The following is a 16,218-nucleotide window of genomic DNA, read 5'->3' on the forward strand; positions in this document are numbered from 1 at the left end:
ACAGCTCCCTAGAGGGGGACTCAGACAGTGGGGACAGATTCCTCAGGCATAAGCACTGGAGTTTAGGCTGGCCAGTTCATTCCATACGCCCACATGACATGACACAAGGCAGAGGCTGTGGGACAAAGGTATTGCCTTTTCTTCTGGCATGAGGAATGGCTTAGGAAGCAGGGGATGGTGGGGCTGGGGTTGAGTGATGGGCTGTGGGCCACAAGGAGTGGGTGGGCACTGAGCAAGTGACCTGGTTGTCTGTCCATAGACGCAGAATGAGTGGCATCCCAGGAGCCTGTGAGGGGCTGGCAGAGACTTACTGGTTCCAGTAAAAGCCCCATGTGGATGCAGTAATGCTGCCTGCTGGTCCTTGGCTGTAATTACAAACAGGTACATGAGGTACCCATGCATCTTGAAGCTCTCAGGGAGTGGGTTCCAGCTGCTCATGGTAGGCACTTTTAGTCACTGAACATGCTTCAGGCATGTCCAAGCTTGATTAAGCCAGGCATCTTGCTGTGAGGCCCTCCACTTCACTAAGAACACTCTTCCTTGCTTCCCCTGGAAGTTGGACCTTCCAGTTCTGGTTCTGGAGACACGATGGCCCCTCCTGGACCCCTGGGAGAATGTGCTCAGGTGACACACAGTTGATGGGGCCCATTTCCAAGCCATTCTTCCATTTCCCACTGTTTGAGGGACCCGAGGCCGGTGACAAGCACAGAGCCACCCAAGGCCAGCTGTCTGCACCTAAATGTGATGCTTGTCTGGATGTCTCAGGGCCAGAACCCTCCAGGTGAGATGGCCTGGTCCTCACCACCTGGCGTCCGTGCTCCCTTTTCCTCTGTTCAATCCTGGCGCCAATGCCTCCCTCAACTCTCAGGTCACCATTGGAGAAGATGCTCAGGAAGAACAAGCAGCTGCAGTTAACCCTGCTGAAAGTGGCAGATGGTTCCAGGCTCTTGAGCTCGTCTTGGACATGGAACATGTGGATACAGGCTTTGAGCAGTGTGTGTAGCTCTTTCAGGAAGGAAGGGAAAAGGGTGTTACCCGGGTCCTACACCCTGGAACGACCCTTCTCAGACAGTAAATAGTTGGCAGGGTGCGGTCATGTGTGATTTTAGTTTTCAACTTTAGGCTTTCATTTTCAAATTCCACAATAAACACATAAGGTGGAGTTCTGGTTTCAGCACACACACACACACACAAACACACACACACACACATTCTCTCTCTCTGTATGTCTCTTTCTGTCTCTCTCTCTCTCTCCTTCCTGCTAGTGGGCAAGGATCCTTGTTAACAAGAAACCTTCTGCCAAATGCCTCTGAAGCACAGGCAGGTCTTGGGGAGCCACAAGGCCACTTCCTCTTTGTGCACTAGTGTCTTGGGTAGGCATAGCTTTCAGAGCTCTGGGGCCTCCACAACCTTGCCCTGCTGTCCAGGGGCAGCCCTCATGCAGGGGTGTCCTAAGAACTTTTCAGGACGCACAAGTTCAGCACTGTCTTCCAATGTGTGTTTCACGATATTTTAATGGTGGTTCTTTTGGGAAAAAGGAAAGGTTCTGTGATCAATTATGGGACACATTGAGCTACAGATCTTTTTCACAATTGCTCTTAACAAGCAGGTAGACCCTGAGAACATGAGTAGCTTCCCTGCAGGTAACTTGAGTGCATGAGAACTTTTGCTTTACAACCATGCCAATCTCACCTCAGCAGTTGGCAGTGCTACACTGGGCAGACTTCCCTACTCAAAGGCTGTGAAGCTTTTCTTTCTTTTTTTTTTAAACATTATTTTTCTTTATAGAATTTTGTTGGGCTGATATCAAGCCTGGCTTGGTACTGCCTCATTTTTTTTGGAATCAGAACGCTGTTCTTTAACTCACGGGTTGTGAAGTTAGAAGGTGCTGGTGTGACAGCCTGACAAGCAGAGCGCAGCTCCAATCCCACCTTCATGCGCTCATCTGACGCAGAGCCCTCAGAGAAGTGGGGAAGTGCTTCCTGGCCCTGCTTCTGGGGGCCGTCCCCAAGGCAGTCCACCGAACTTCCAAAACAGCCTTCCCTCACACACAGCCCTGAGCCCTCCTGCCGCTCCTCAATGTTGCACATCTCTGAGAAGTGGTCCAGCATGTTGCTGTCCAGGAGCAGTGAGAAGCAGGTGCGGTGACACATGTCTTCACGGACCATGAGCACCGGGTAAATCTCCTGCACAATCTCCTTGGGGGACACCTTGAGGGAGAAAGCCCCAACAACTGATGGCATGCCACATGGCAGAAAGCAAAGACTTACCCTTTCCCCAGCCCAAAGTCCTGAGAATCATGCCAAAAATCCTTGGTTTCCCACTTTTTAAAAATTTTAAAATTAAAATCCCAGGTTCCGCGTATACATGCCATGCCCACCTGCACCTGTGTGTGTGTGTGTGTGTTTGTGCACGCAGGACAGAGCCTGGCCCATTGACTATTCCTGCAGACCAAGAAAAATCCCTATGCAGAGTAAGGGGAGATGGAAGAAACGAGGGAGAGAAAATGGCAGCCTTGCCTCCTCCCTTGACCAGTGCTAAGGTCCCCAGGGCAAATGGCTTTTGCCTTCAACTTCACCTTAACAACATACAAAATATATTCATTTTTACTTCCGTCACTTTCTTAACATTACAAATTGTATCTTTATATATGATTTGTATTTTCACAGAGATTTAAGAATTTAATGCACCATTATAGTAGAAAATTGTATATCTGTGTATATATTTACATTGAACAGAGAGCTTTATATTTTCATGTGGTTTTATGATGCTGTCCAGCATCATTTAATTTTTCAACATAATTCTCTTTAGCATTTTTTTCCCTAGGGTTATTCTAGTAGTTAACAACCTCAGCTTTTTTATTTTAATCTTTGAAAGTCTTTATTTTTTTCTAATTTTTGAAATACAGTATTTCCCAGATCAATTATTATTGGTTGCTAGTATTTTTTCTTTCATCGCTTTGAAATCTGGAAAGTTCTTAGCATCCCCGCTTTTTCTCTGAAATAATGTTTATGCCATTTTCTCCCTCTATTCTTTTTAAAAGACTCTATCTCTGAATGTATTGGTCTACCTGATGGTGTCCAGTAAGTCTTATATTTCACCCGTAATTTTCCCATTCTTTAAAATATTAGTTTCCAGGACTCAATATTTGTGAATAATATATGTTCAACTTTCTTTTTTCTGCTCCATTGTTTGCTGTTGTGTCTCTGTAGTGAATTTATAAAACTCAGTTATTATATTCTTCAACTCTATGATTTCTGTTGGGTTTTTAAAAATAGTTTTTATCTCTTTGTTGATATTTTGCTCATTCGTTATTTTTAAATTTCACTCAGTTGTCTCTTTCTGTTATAGTTTTGCTCACTGAGTATGCATAAGATGATTATTTTAAGTTCTCCATCAGATATGCAAAAATCTTTATTTGTTAAAATTCAGTTTCTGAATATTTATGTTTTTCTTCCAATGGGGAATATTTTCTGCCTTCTCTGTGTGCCTTGTGATTTTTTTTTTTAAAAGAGATCTGGGGATCTATACAGCACTCATCAAATCTAGCATTTAAAGACTGGCTCAGTAAAGGGGGATACCGACAGCAATAGTCCAGGCTATAGATTCTAGGTGCTTCACAAACACATTCCCAAATATATTTTCTCTGGACTTGGGTGTGTTTCCAAGTTAAAGAGAATTTTTTCTCAATGTATTTTAGATTCTATTGTCTATTTTCTTCCCCAGTTGGCTGTCTGTGGTATTGCAGTTTCACTAGTGCTGTAGCAAACACTCATCTTTCTTCTCAGCAGGCACAAACTCTCATCTATATGACTCCATCATGTCCTTCAGCACTCCACATCAGGAGAGAAAGAATCTAGTCATTAGACAATTTATCAAAAAGCCAAACATTTCAACACATATTCTACTGTTTTAATTCTCTCCTGAAGGAGATACTGGGAGTTGGGCATTTTCTGATTAGCCCAGTTACTGTTCTGGGTGAAAAAAGAAACTGCAGTGGACAGGCTGTAAGCCAGACTTCATCAAATTTCTGCAGCAATGAAAAAAAAATTTACAAGAGAAAAACAAAAAACCCTATTAAACGTCACGGACAAGGCCAGAGTTTGAATATACTGTGGTCATCTCCGCTCCAGTGCAAACTGTTTTCAGAAAGCCTGCTTTTATTTTCCTTGCTGTAACAGAGGAACATTTCCTGTCTTATGCTTATTCTACTCTGCAGTCCCCTAAGGCTTTTTCTCTCCCTCCCAGAATCTTAAAGTGCATTCGAACGCACAGGCAAAATCCTCCCAGAAACTTGTGAAAACATAAATGATCTGACTAGTTTGGCATTGCTTTTGGGGATCTGGGAAAATCTGTGCACACTTCTGGAGACCCTTGTCAGGCCATTTTTTATAAATCTATTGTGCCTCAAGTCAGCAGTGTGTGAGGGGAGATGGGGAGACATTGGGATGCGCGCGCCTGGGGCTCTCCCACAGGGGGCTTTCGTGAGCCAGGCAGCGAGGGCCGCCCCCGCGCTGCAGCCCAGCCAGGCCGCGCCGGCAGAGGGGATCTCCCAACCTGCCCCGGCGCGCGGGGATTTCGCCTACGCCGCCCCGGCTCCTCCGGACGGGGCGCTCTCCCACCCTCAGGCTCCTCGGTGGCCTCCGCACCCGGGCAAAAGCCGGGAGGACCGGGACCCGCAGCGCGACGGCCTGCCGGGCCCCTGCGCGGTGGCACAGCCTGGGCCCGCTCAAGCGGGGCCGCAGGGCCAAGGGGTGCTTGCGCCACCCACGTCCCAGGGGAGTCCGTGGTGGGGCTGGGGCCGGGGTCCCCAGGTCGCCGGGGCGGCGTGGGAACCCCAAGCCGGGGCAGCTCCACCTCCCCAGCCCGCGCCCCCGGACGCCTCCGCGCGGCAGGGGCAGATGCAAGGCATCCCGGCGCCCTCCCAGGCGCTCCAGGAGCCGGCGCCCTGGTCTGCACTCCCCTGCGGCCTGCTGCTGGATGAGCTCCTGGCGAGCCCGGAGTTTCTGCAGCAGGCGCAACCTCTCCTAGAAACGGAGGCCCCGGGGGAGCTGGAGGCCTCGGAAGAGGCCGCCTCGCTGGAAGCACCCCTCAGCGAGGAAGAATACCGGGCTCTGCTGGAGGAGCTTTAGGACGCGGGGTTGGGACGGGGTCGGGTGGTTCGGGGCAGGGCGGTGGCCTCTCTTTCGCGGGGAACGCCTGGCTGGCTACGGAGGGGCGTGTCTCCGCCCCGCCCCCTCCACCGGGCTGACCGGCCTGGGATTCCTGCCTTCTAGGCCTAGGCCCGGTGAGAGACTCCACACAGCGGAGAACTGCCATTCTTTCCTGGGCATCCCGGGGATCCCAGAGCCGGCCCAGGTACCAGCAGGTGGGCCGCCTACTGCGCACGCGCGGGTTTGCGGGCAGCCGCCTGGGCTGTGGGAGCAGCCCGGGCAGAGCTCTCCTGCCTCTCCACCAGCCCACCCCACCGCCTGACCGCCCCCTCCCCACCCCCACCCCCCGCCCCCGGAAAACGCGTCGTCCCCTGGGCTGGGTGGAGACCCCCGTCCCGCGAAACACCGGGCCCCGCGCAGCGTCCGGGCCTGACACCGCTCCGGCGGCTCGCCTCCTCTGCGCCCCCGCGCCACCGTGGCCCGCCCGCCCGGGCCCCTGCAGCCGCCCAGGTGCCAGCACGGAGCGCCTGGAGGCGGAACGCAGACCCCAGGCCCGGCGCACACCGGGGACGCTGAGCGTTCCAGGCGGGAGGGAAGGCGGGCAGAGATGGAGAGAGGAACGGGAGACCTAGAGGGGCGGAAGGATGGGCGGAGGGACGTTAGGAGGGAGGGAGGGAGGCAGGGAGGCAGGGAGGCAGGGAGGAACGGAGGGAAAGACAGAGCGACGCAGGGACTGGGGGCGGGCGGGAGGGAGCCGGGGACGGGGGGAGGAAGGCAGGGAGGAAAAGCGGTCTTCGGCCTCCGGGAGTAGCGGGACCCCCGCCCTCCGGGAAAACGGTCAGCGTCCGGCGCGGGCTGAGGGCTGGGCCCACAGCCGCCGCGCCGGCCGGCGGGGCACCACCCATTCGCCCCGGTTCCGGGGCCCAGGGAGTGGGCGGTTTCCTCCGGGACAAAAGACCGGGACTCGGGTTGCCGTCGGGTTTTCACCCGCGCGGTTCACAGACCGCACATCCCCAGGCTGAGCCCTGCAACGCGGCGCGAGGCCGACAGCCCCGGCCACGGAGGAGCCACACGCAGGACGACGGAGGCGTGATTTTGGTTTCCGCGTGGCTTTGCCCTCTGCAAGGCGGCCTGTTGCTCACGTCTCTCCGGCCCCCGAAAGGCTGGCCATGCCGACTGTTTGCTCCCGGAGCTCTGCGGGCACCCGGAAACATGCAGGGGAGGGTGCAAGCCCGGCACGGTGCCTTCGCTCTCCTTGCCAGGTTCCAAACCGGCCACACTGCAGACTCCCCACGTTGCCGCACGCGGGAATCCATCGTCAGGCCATCACGCCGGGGAGGCATCTCCTCTCTGGGGTCTCGCTCTGGTCTTCTACGTGGAAATGAACGAGAGCCACACGCCTGCGTGTGCGAGACCGTCCCGGCAACGGCGACGCCCACAGGCATTGCCTCCTTCACGGAGAGAGGGCCTGGCACACTCAAGACTCCCACGGAGGTTCAGTTCCACACTCCCCTCCACCCTCCCAGGCTGGTTTCTCCCTGCTGCCGACGCGTGGGAGCCCAGAGAGCGGCTTCCCGTTCCCGCGGGATCCCTGGAGAGGTCCGGAGAGCCGGCCCCCGAAACGCGCCCCCCTCCCCCCTCCCCCCTCTCCCCCTTCCTCTTCGTCTCTCCGGCCCCACCACCACCACCGCCACCACGCCCTCCCCCACCACCCCCCCCACCCCACACCACCACCACCACCACCACCACCACCACCCCGCCGGCCGGCCCCAGGCCTCGACGCCCTGGGTCCCTTCCGGGGTGGGGCGGGCTGTCCCAGGGGGGCTCACCGCCATTCATGAAGGGGTGGAGCCTGCCTGCCCGTGGGCCTTTACAAGGGCGGCTGGCTGGCTGGCTGGCTGTCCGGGCAGGCCTCCTGGCTGCACCTGCCGCAGTGCACAGTCCGGCTGAGGTGCACGGGAGCCCGCCGGCCTCTCTCTGCCCGCGTCCGTCCGTGAAATTGCGGCCGGGGCTCACCGCGATGGCCCTCCCGACACCTTCGGACAGCACCCTCCCCGCGGAAGCCCGGGGACGAGGACGGCGACGGAGACTCGTTTGGACCCCGAGCCAAAGCGAGGCCCTGCGAGCCTGCTTTGAGCGGAACCCGTACCCGGGCATCGCCACCAGAGAACGGCTGGCCCAGGCCATCGGCATTCCGGAGCCCAGGGTCCAGATTTGGTTTCAGAATGAGAGGTCACGCCAGCTGAGGCAGCACCGGCGGGAATCTCGGCCCTGGCCCGGGAGACGCGGCCCGCCAGAAGGCCGGCGAAAGCGGACCGCCGTCACCGGATCCCAGACCGCCCTGCTCCTCCGAGCCTTTGAGAAGGATCGCTTTCCAGGCATCGCCGCCCGGGAGGAGCTGGCCAGAGAGACGGGCCTCCCGGAGTCCAGGATTCAGATCTGGTTTCAGAATCGAAGGGCCAGGCACCCGGGACAGGGTGGCAGGGCGCCCGCGCAGGCAGGCGGCCTGTGCAACGCGGCCCCCGGCGGGGGTCACCCTGCTCCCTCGTGGGTCGCCTTCGCCCACACCGGCGCGTGGGGAACGGGGCTTCCCGCACCCCACGTGCCCTGCGCGCCTGGGGCTCTCCCACAGGGGGCTTTCGTGAGCCAGGCAGCGAGGGCCGCCCCCGCGCTGCAGCCCAGCCAGGCCGCGCCGGCAGAGGGGATCTCCCAACCTGCCCCGGCGCGCGGGGATTTCGCCTACGCCGCCCCGGCTCCTCCGGACGGGGCGCTCTCCCACCCTCAGGCTCCTCGGTGGCCTCCGCACCCGGGCAAAAGCCGGGAGGACCGGGACCCGCAGCGCGACGGCCTGCCGGGCCCCTGCGCGGTGGCACAGCCTGGGCCCGCTCAAGCGGGGCCGCAGGGCCAAGGGGTGCTTGCGCCACCCACGTCCCAGGGGAGTCCGTGGTGGGGCTGGGGCCGGGGTCCCCAGGTCGCCGGGGCGGCGTGGGAACCCCAAGCCGGGGCAGCTCCACCTCCCCAGCCCGCGCCCCCGGACGCCTCCGCGCGGCAGGGGCAGATGCAAGGCATCCCGGCGCCCTCCCAGGCGCTCCAGGAGCCGGCGCCCTGGTCTGCACTCCCCTGCGGCCTGCTGCTGGATGAGCTCCTGGCGAGCCCGGAGTTTCTGCAGCAGGCGCAACCTCTCCTAGAAACGGAGGCCCCGGGGGAGCTGGAGGCCTCGGAAGAGGCCGCCTCGCTGGAAGCACCCCTCAGCGAGGAAGAATACCGGGCTCTGCTGGAGGAGCTTTAGGACGCGGGGTTGGGACGGGGTCGGGTGGTTCGGGGCAGGGCGGTGGCCTCTCTTTCGCGGGGAACGCCTGGCTGGCTACGGAGGGGCGTGTCTCCGCCCCGCCCCCTCCACCGGGCTGACCGGCCTGGGATTCCTGCCTTCTAGGCCTAGGCCCGGTGAGAGACTCCACACAGCGGAGAACTGCCATTCTTTCCTGGGCATCCCGGGGATCCCAGAGCCGGCCCAGGTACCAGCAGGTGGGCCGCCTACTGCGCACGCGCGGGTTTGCGGGCAGCCGCCTGGGCTGTGGGAGCAGCCCGGGCAGAGCTCTCCTGCCTCTCCACCAGCCCACCCCGCCGCCTGACCGCCCCCTCCCCACCCCCACCCCCCGCCCCCGGAAAACGCGTCGTCCCCTGGGCTGGGTGGAGACCCCCGTCCCGCGAAACACCGGGCCCCGCGCAGCGTCCGGGCCTGACACCGCTCCGGCGGCTCGCCTCCTCTGCGCCCCCGCGCCACCGTCGCCCGCCCGCCCGGGCCCCTGCAGCCGCCCAGGTGCCAGCACGGAGCGCCTGGCGGCGGAACGCAGACCCCAGGCCCGGCGCACACCGGGGACGCTGAGCGTTCCAGGCGGGAGGGAAGGCGGGCAGAGATGGAGAGAGGAACGGGAGACCTAGAGGGGCGGAAGGATGGGCGGAGGGACGTTAGGAGGGAGGGAGGGAGGCAGGGAGGCAGGGAGGCAGGGAGGAACGGAGGGAAAGACAGAGCGACGCAGGGACTGGGGGCGGGCGGGAGGGAGCCGGGGACGGGGGGAGGAAGGCAGGGAGGAAAAGCGGTCTTCGGCCTCCGGGAGTAGCGGGACCCCCGCCCTCCGGGAAAACGGTCAGCGTCCGGCGCGGGCTGAGGGCTGGGCCCACAGCCGCCGCGCCGGCCGGCGGGGCACCACCCATTCGCCCCGGTTCCGGGGCCCAGGGAGTGGGCGGTTTCCTCCGGGACAAAAGACCGGGACTCGGGTTGCCGTCGGGTTTTCACCCGCGCGGTTCACAGACCGCACATCCCCAGGCTGAGCCCTGCAACGCGGCGCGAGGCCGACAGCCCCGGCCACGGAGGAGCCACACGCAGGACGACGGAGGCGTGATTTTGGTTTCCGCGTGGCTTTGCCCTCTGCAAGGCGGCCTGTTGCTCACGTCTCTCCGGCCCCCGAAAGGCTGGCCATGCCGACTGTTTGCTCCCGGAGCTCTGCGGGCACCCGGAAACATGCAGGGGAGGGTGCAAGCCCGGCACGGTGCCTTCGCTCTCCTTGCCAGGTTCCAAACCGGCCACACTGCAGACTCCCCACGTTGCCGCACGCGGGAATCCATCGTCAGGCCATCACGCCGGGGAGGCATCTCCTCTCTGGGGTCTCGCTCTGGTCTTCTACGTGGAAATGAACGAGAGCCACACGCCTGCGTGTGCGAGACCGTCCCGGCAACGGCGACGCCCACAGGCATTGCCTCCTTCACGGAGAGAGGGCCTGGCACACTCAAGACTCCCACGGAGGTTCAGTTCCACACTCCCCTCCACCCTCCCAGGCTGGTTTCTCCCTGCTGCCGACGCGTGGGAGCCCAGAGAGCGGCTTCCCGTTCCCGCGGGATCCCTGGAGAGGTCCGGAGAGCCGGCCCCCGAAACGCGCCCCCCTCCCCCCTCCCCCCTCTCCACCTTCCTCTTCGTCTCTCCGGCCCCACCACCACCACCGCCACCACGCCCTCCCCCACCACCACCCCCCCCCCACCACCACCACCACCACCACCCCGCCGGCCGGCCCCAGGCCTCGACGCCCTGGGTCCCTTCCGGGGTGGGGCGGGCTGTCCCAGGGGGGCTCACCGCCATTCATGAAGGGGTGGAGCCTGCCTGCCCGTGGGCCTTTACAAGGGCGGCTGGCTGGCTGGCTGGCTGTCCGGGCAGGCCTCCTGGCTGCACCTGCCGCAGTGCACAGTCCGGCTGAGGTGCACGGGAGCCCGCCGGCCTCTCTCTGCCCGCGTCCGTCCGTGAAATTGCGGCCGGGGCTCACCGCGATGGCCCTCCCGACACCTTCGGACAGCACCCTCCCCGCGGAAGCCCGGGGACGAGGACGGCGACGGAGACTCGTTTGGACCCCGAGCCAAAGCGAGGCCCTGCGAGCCTGCTTTGAGCGGAACCCGTACCCGGGCATCGCCACCAGAGAACGGCTGGCCCAGGCCATCGGCATTCCGGAGCCCAGGGTCCAGATTTGGTTTCAGAATGAGAGGTCACGCCAGCTGAGGCAGCACCGGCGGGAATCTCGGCCCTGGCCCGGGAGACGCGGCCCGCCAGAAGGCCGGCGAAAGCGGACCGCCGTCACCGGATCCCAGACCGCCCTGCTCCTCCGAGCCTTTGAGAAGGATCGCTTTCCAGGCATCGCCGCCCGGGAGGAGCTGGCCAGAGAGACGGGCCTCCCGGAGTCCAGGATTCAGATCTGGTTTCAGAATCGAAGGGCCAGGCACCCGGGACAGGGTGGCAGGGCGCCCGCGCAGGCAGGCGGCCTGTGCAGCGCGGCCCCCGGCGGGGGTCACCCTGCTCCCTCGTGGGTCGCCTTCGCCCACACCGGCGCGTGGGGAACGGGGCTTCCCGCACCCCACGTGCCCTGCGCGCCTGGGGCTCTCCCACAGGGGGCTTTCGTGAGCCAGGCAGCGAGGGCCGCCCCCGCGCTGCAGCCCAGCCAGGCCGCGCCGGCAGAGGGGATCTCCCAACCTGCCCCGGCGCGCGGGGATTTCGCCTACGCCGCCCCGGCTCCTCCGGACGGGGCGCTCTCCCACCCTCAGGCTCCTCGGTGGCCTCCGCACCCGGGCAAAAGCCGGGAGGACCGGGACCCGCAGCGCGACGGCCTGCCGGGCCCCTGCGCGGTGGCACAGCCTGGGCCCGCTCAAGCGGGGCCGCAGGGCCAAGGGGTGCTTGCGCCACCCACGTCCCAGGGGAGTCCGTGGTGGGGCTGGGGCCGGGGTCCCCAGGTCGCCGGGGCGGCGTGGGAACCCCAAGCCGGGGCAGCTCCACCTCCCCAGCCCGCGCCCCCGGACGCCTCCGCGCGGCAGGGGCAGATGCAAGGCATCCCGGCGCCCTCCCAGGCGCTCCAGGAGCCGGCGCCCTGGTCTGCACTCCCCTGCGGCCTGCTGCTGGATGAGCTCCTGGCGAGCCCGGAGTTTCTGCAGCAGGCGCAACCTCTCCTAGAAACGGAGGCCCCGGGGGAGCTGGAGGCCTCGGAAGAGGCCGCCTCGCTGGAAGCACCCCTCAGCGAGGAAGAATACCGGGCTCTGCTGGAGGAGCTTTAGGACGCGGGGTTGGGACGGGGTCGGGTGGTTCGGGGCAGGGCGGTGGCCTCTCTTTCGCGGGGAACGCCTGGCTGGCTACGGAGGGGCGTGTCTCCGCCCCGCCCCCTCCACCGGGCTGACCGGCCTGGGATTCCTGCCTTCTAGGCCTAGGCCCGGTGAGAGACTCCACACAGCGGAGAACTGCCATTCTTTCCTGGGCATCCCGGGGATCCCAGAGCCGGCCCAGGTACCAGCAGGTGGGCCGCCTACTGCGCACGCGCGGGTTTGCGGGCAGCCGCCTGGGCTGTGGGAGCAGCCCGGGCAGAGCTCTCCTGCCTCTCCACCAGCCCACCCCGCCGCCTGACCGCCCCCTCCCCACCCCCACCCCCCGCCCCCGGAAAACGCGTCGTCCCCTGGGCTGGGTGGAGACCCCCGTCCCGCGAAACACCGGGCCCCGCGCAGCGTCCGGGCCTGACACCGCTCCGGCGGCTCGCCTCCTCTGCGCCCCCGCGCCACCGTCGCCCGCCCGCCCGGGCCCCTGCAGCCGCCCAGGTGCCAGCACGGAGCGCCTGGCGGCGGAACGCAGACCCCAGGCCCGGCGCACACCGGGGACGCTGAGCGTTCCAGGCGGGAGGGAAGGCGGGCAGAGATGGAGAGAGGAACGGGAGACCTAGAGGGGCGGAAGGATGGGCGGAGGGACGTTAGGAGGGAGGGAGGGAGGCAGGGAGGCAGGGAGGCAGGGAGGAACGGAGGGAAAGACAGAGCGACGCAGGGACTGGGGGCGGGCGGGAGGGAGCCGGGGACGGGGGGAGGAAGGCAGGGAGGAAAAGCGGTCTTCGGCCTCCGGGAGTAGCGGGACCCCCGCCCTCCGGGAAAACGGTCAGCGTCCGGCGCGGGCTGAGGGCTGGGCCCACAGCCGCCGCGCCGGCCGGCGGGGCACCACCCATTCGCCCCGGTTCCGGGGCCCAGGGAGTGGGCGGTTTCCTCCGGGACAAAAGACCGGGACTCGGGTTGCCGTCGGGTTTTCACCCGCGCGGTTCACAGACCGCACATCCCCAGGCTGAGCCCTGCAACGCGGCGCGAGGCCGACAGCCCCGGCCACGGAGGAGCCACACGCAGGACGACGGAGGCGTGATTTTGGTTTCCGCGTGGCTTTGCCCTCTGCAAGGCGGCCTGTTGCTCACGTCTCTCCGGCCCCCGAAAGGCTGGCCATGCCGACTGTTTGCTCCCGGAGCTCTGCGGGCACCCGGAAACATGCAGGGGAGGGTGCAAGCCCGGCACGGTGCCTTCGCTCTCCTTGCCAGGTTCCAAACCGGCCACACTGCAGACTCCCCACGTTGCCGCACGCGGGAATCCATCGTCAGGCCATCACGCCGGGGAGGCATCTCCTCTCTGGGGTCTCGCTCTGGTCTTCTACGTGGAAATGAACGAGAGCCACACGCCTGCGTGTGCGAGACCGTCCCGGCAACGGCGACGCCCACAGGCATTGCCTCCTTCACGGAGAGAGGGCCTGGCACACTCAAGACTCCCACGGAGGTTCAGTTCCACACTCCCCTCCACCCTCCCAGGCTGGTTTCTCCCTGCTGCCGACGCGTGGGAGCCCAGAGAGCGGCTTCCCGTTCCCGCGGGATCCCTGGAGAGGTCCGGAGAGCCGGCCCCCGAAACGCGCCCCCCTCCCCCCTCCCCCCTCTCCACCTTCCTCTTCGTCTCTCCGGCCCCACCACCACCACCGCCACCACGCCCTCCCCCACCACCACCCCCCCCCCACCACCACCACCACCACCACCCCGCCGGCCGGCCCCAGGCCTCGACGCCCTGGGTCCCTTCCGGGGTGGGGCGGGCTGTCCCAGGGGGGCTCACCGCCATTCATGAAGGGGTGGAGCCTGCCTGCCCGTGGGCCTTTACAAGGGCGGCTGGCTGGCTGGCTGGCTGTCCGGGCAGGCCTCCTGGCTGCACCTGCCGCAGTGCACAGTCCGGCTGAGGTGCACGGGAGCCCGCCGGCCTCTCTCTGCCCGCGTCCGTCCGTGAAATTGCGGCCGGGGCTCACCGCGATGGCCCTCCCGACACCTTCGGACAGCACCCTCCCCGCGGAAGCCCGGGGACGAGGACGGCGACGGAGACTCGTTTGGACCCCGAGCCAAAGCGAGGCCCTGCGAGCCTGCTTTGAGCGGAACCCGTACCCGGGCATCGCCACCAGAGAACGGCTGGCCCAGGCCATCGGCATTCCGGAGCCCAGGGTCCAGATTTGGTTTCAGAATGAGAGGTCACGCCAGCTGAGGCAGCACCGGCGGGAATCTCGGCCCTGGCCCGGGAGACGCGGCCCGCCAGAAGGCCGGCGAAAGCGGACCGCCGTCACCGGATCCCAGACCGCCCTGCTCCTCCGAGCCTTTGAGAAGGATCGCTTTCCAGGCATCGCCGCCCGGGAGGAGCTGGCCAGAGAGACGGGCCTCCCGGAGTCCAGGATTCAGATCTGGTTTCAGAATCGAAGGGCCAGGCACCCGGGACAGGGTGGCAGGGCGCCCGCGCAGGCAGGCGGCCTGTGCAGCGCGGCCCCCGGCGGGGGTCACCCTGCTCCCTCGTGGGTCGCCTTCGCCCACACCGGCGCGTGGGGAACGGGGCTTCCCGCACCCCACGTGCCCTGCGCGCCTGGGGCTCTCCCACAGGGGGCTTTCGTGAGCCAGGCAGCGAGGGCCGCCCCCGCGCTGCAGCCCAGCCAGGCCGCGCCGGCAGAGGGGATCTCCCAACCTGCCCCGGCGCGCGGGGATTTCGCCTACGCCGCCCCGGCTCCTCCGGACGGGGCGCTCTCCCACCCTCAGGCTCCTCGGTGGCCTCCGCACCCGGGCAAAAGCCGGGAGGACCGGGACCCGCAGCGCGACGGCCTGCCGGGCCCCTGCGCGGTGGCACAGCCTGGGCCCGCTCAAGCGGGGCCGCAGGGCCAAGGGGTGCTTGCGCCACCCACGTCCCAGGGGAGTCCGTGGTGGGGCTGGGGCCGGGGTCCCCAGGTCGCCGGGGCGGCGTGGGAACCCCAAGCCGGGGCAGCTCCACCTCCCCAGCCCGCGCCCCCGGACGCCTCCGCGCGGCAGGGGCAGATGCAAGGCATCCCGGCGCCCTCCCAGGCGCTCCAGGAGCCGGCGCCCTGGTCTGCACTCCCCTGCGGCCTGCTGCTGGATGAGCTCCTGGCGAGCCCGGAGTTTCTGCAGCAGGCGCAACCTCTCCTAGAAACGGAGGCCCCGGGGGAGCTGGAGGCCTCGGAAGAGGCCGCCTCGCTGGAAGCACCCCTCAGCGAGGAAGAATACCGGGCTCTGCTGGAGGAGCTTTAGGACGCGGGGTTGGGACGGGGTCGGGTGGTTCGGGGCAGGGCGGTGGCCTCTCTTTCGCGGGGAACGCCTGGCTGGCTACGGAGGGGCGTGTCTCCGCCCCGCCCCCTCCACCGGGCTGACCGGCCTGGGATTCCTGCCTTCTAGGCCTAGGCCCGGTGAGAGACTCCACACAGCGGAGAACTGCCATTCTTTCCTGGGCATCCCGGGGATCCCAGAGCCGGCCCAGGTACCAGCAGGTGGGCCGCCTACTGCGCACGCGCGGGTTTGCGGGCAGCCGCCTGGGCTGTGGGAGCAGCCCGGGCAGAGCTCTCCTGCCTCTCCACCAGCCCACCCCGCCGCCTGACCGCCCCCTCCCCACCCCCACCCCCCGCCCCCGGAAAACGCGTCGTCCCCTGGGCTGGGTGGAGACCCCCGTCCCGCGAAACACCGGGCCCCGCGCAGCGTCCGGGCCTGACACCGCTCCGGCGGCTCGCCTCCTCTGCGCCCCCGCGCCACCGTGGCCCGCCCGCCCGGGCCCCTGCAGCCGCCCAGGTGCCAGCACGGAGCGCCTGGAGGCGGAACGCAGACCCCAGGCCCGGCGCACACCGGGGACGCTGAGCGTTCCAGGCGGGAGGGAAGGCGGGCAGAGATGGAGAGAGGAACGGGAGACCTAGAGGGGCGGAAGGATGGGCGGAGGGACGTTAGGAGGGAGGGAGGGAGGCAGGGAGGCAGGGAGGCAGGGAGGAACGGAGGGAAAGACAGAGCGACGCAGGGACTGGGGGCGGGCGGGAGGGAGCCGGGGACGGGGGGAGGAAGGCAGGGAGGAAAAGCGGTCTTCGGCCTCCGGGAGTAGCGGGACCCCCGCCCTCCGGGAAAACGGTCAGCGTCCGGCGCGGGCTGAGGGCTGGGCCCACAGCCGCCGCGCCGGCCGGCGGGGCACCACCCATTCGCCCCGGTTCCGGGGCCCAGGGAGTGGGCGGTTTCCTCCGGGACAAAAGACCGGGACTCGGGTTGCCGTCGGGTTTTCACCCGCGCGGTTCACAGACCGCACATCCCCAGGCTGAGCCCTGCAACGCGGCGCGAGGCCGACAGCCCCGGCCACGGAGGAGCCACACGCAGGACGACGGAGGCGTGATTTTGGTTTCCGCGTGGCTTTGCCCTCTGCAAGGCGGCCTGTTGCTCACGTCTCTCCGGCCCCC

At 64.9% G+C, this 16,218-nt stretch overlaps 5 pseudogenes; 4 read left to right on the plus strand and 1 right to left on the minus strand.

The window, feature by feature from the left end:
* On the minus strand, positions 302–2,222 carry CLUHP5 (clustered mitochondria homolog pseudogene 5; annotated as a pseudogene).
* Positions 4,452–5,129, plus strand: DUX4L28 (double homeobox 4 like 28 (pseudogene); annotated as a pseudogene).
* DUX4L25 (double homeobox 4 like 25 (pseudogene)) lies at positions 7,174–8,698 on the plus strand (annotated as a pseudogene).
* Positions 10,473–11,997, plus strand: DUX4L24 (double homeobox 4 like 24 (pseudogene); annotated as a pseudogene).
* Positions 13,772–15,296, plus strand: DUX4L23 (double homeobox 4 like 23 (pseudogene); annotated as a pseudogene).

Source organism: Homo sapiens, chromosome 10 (assembly GCF_000001405.40).
Source record: "Homo sapiens chromosome 10, GRCh38.p14 Primary Assembly".
Lineage (NCBI taxonomy): Eukaryota > Metazoa > Chordata > Mammalia > Primates > Hominidae > Homo > Homo sapiens.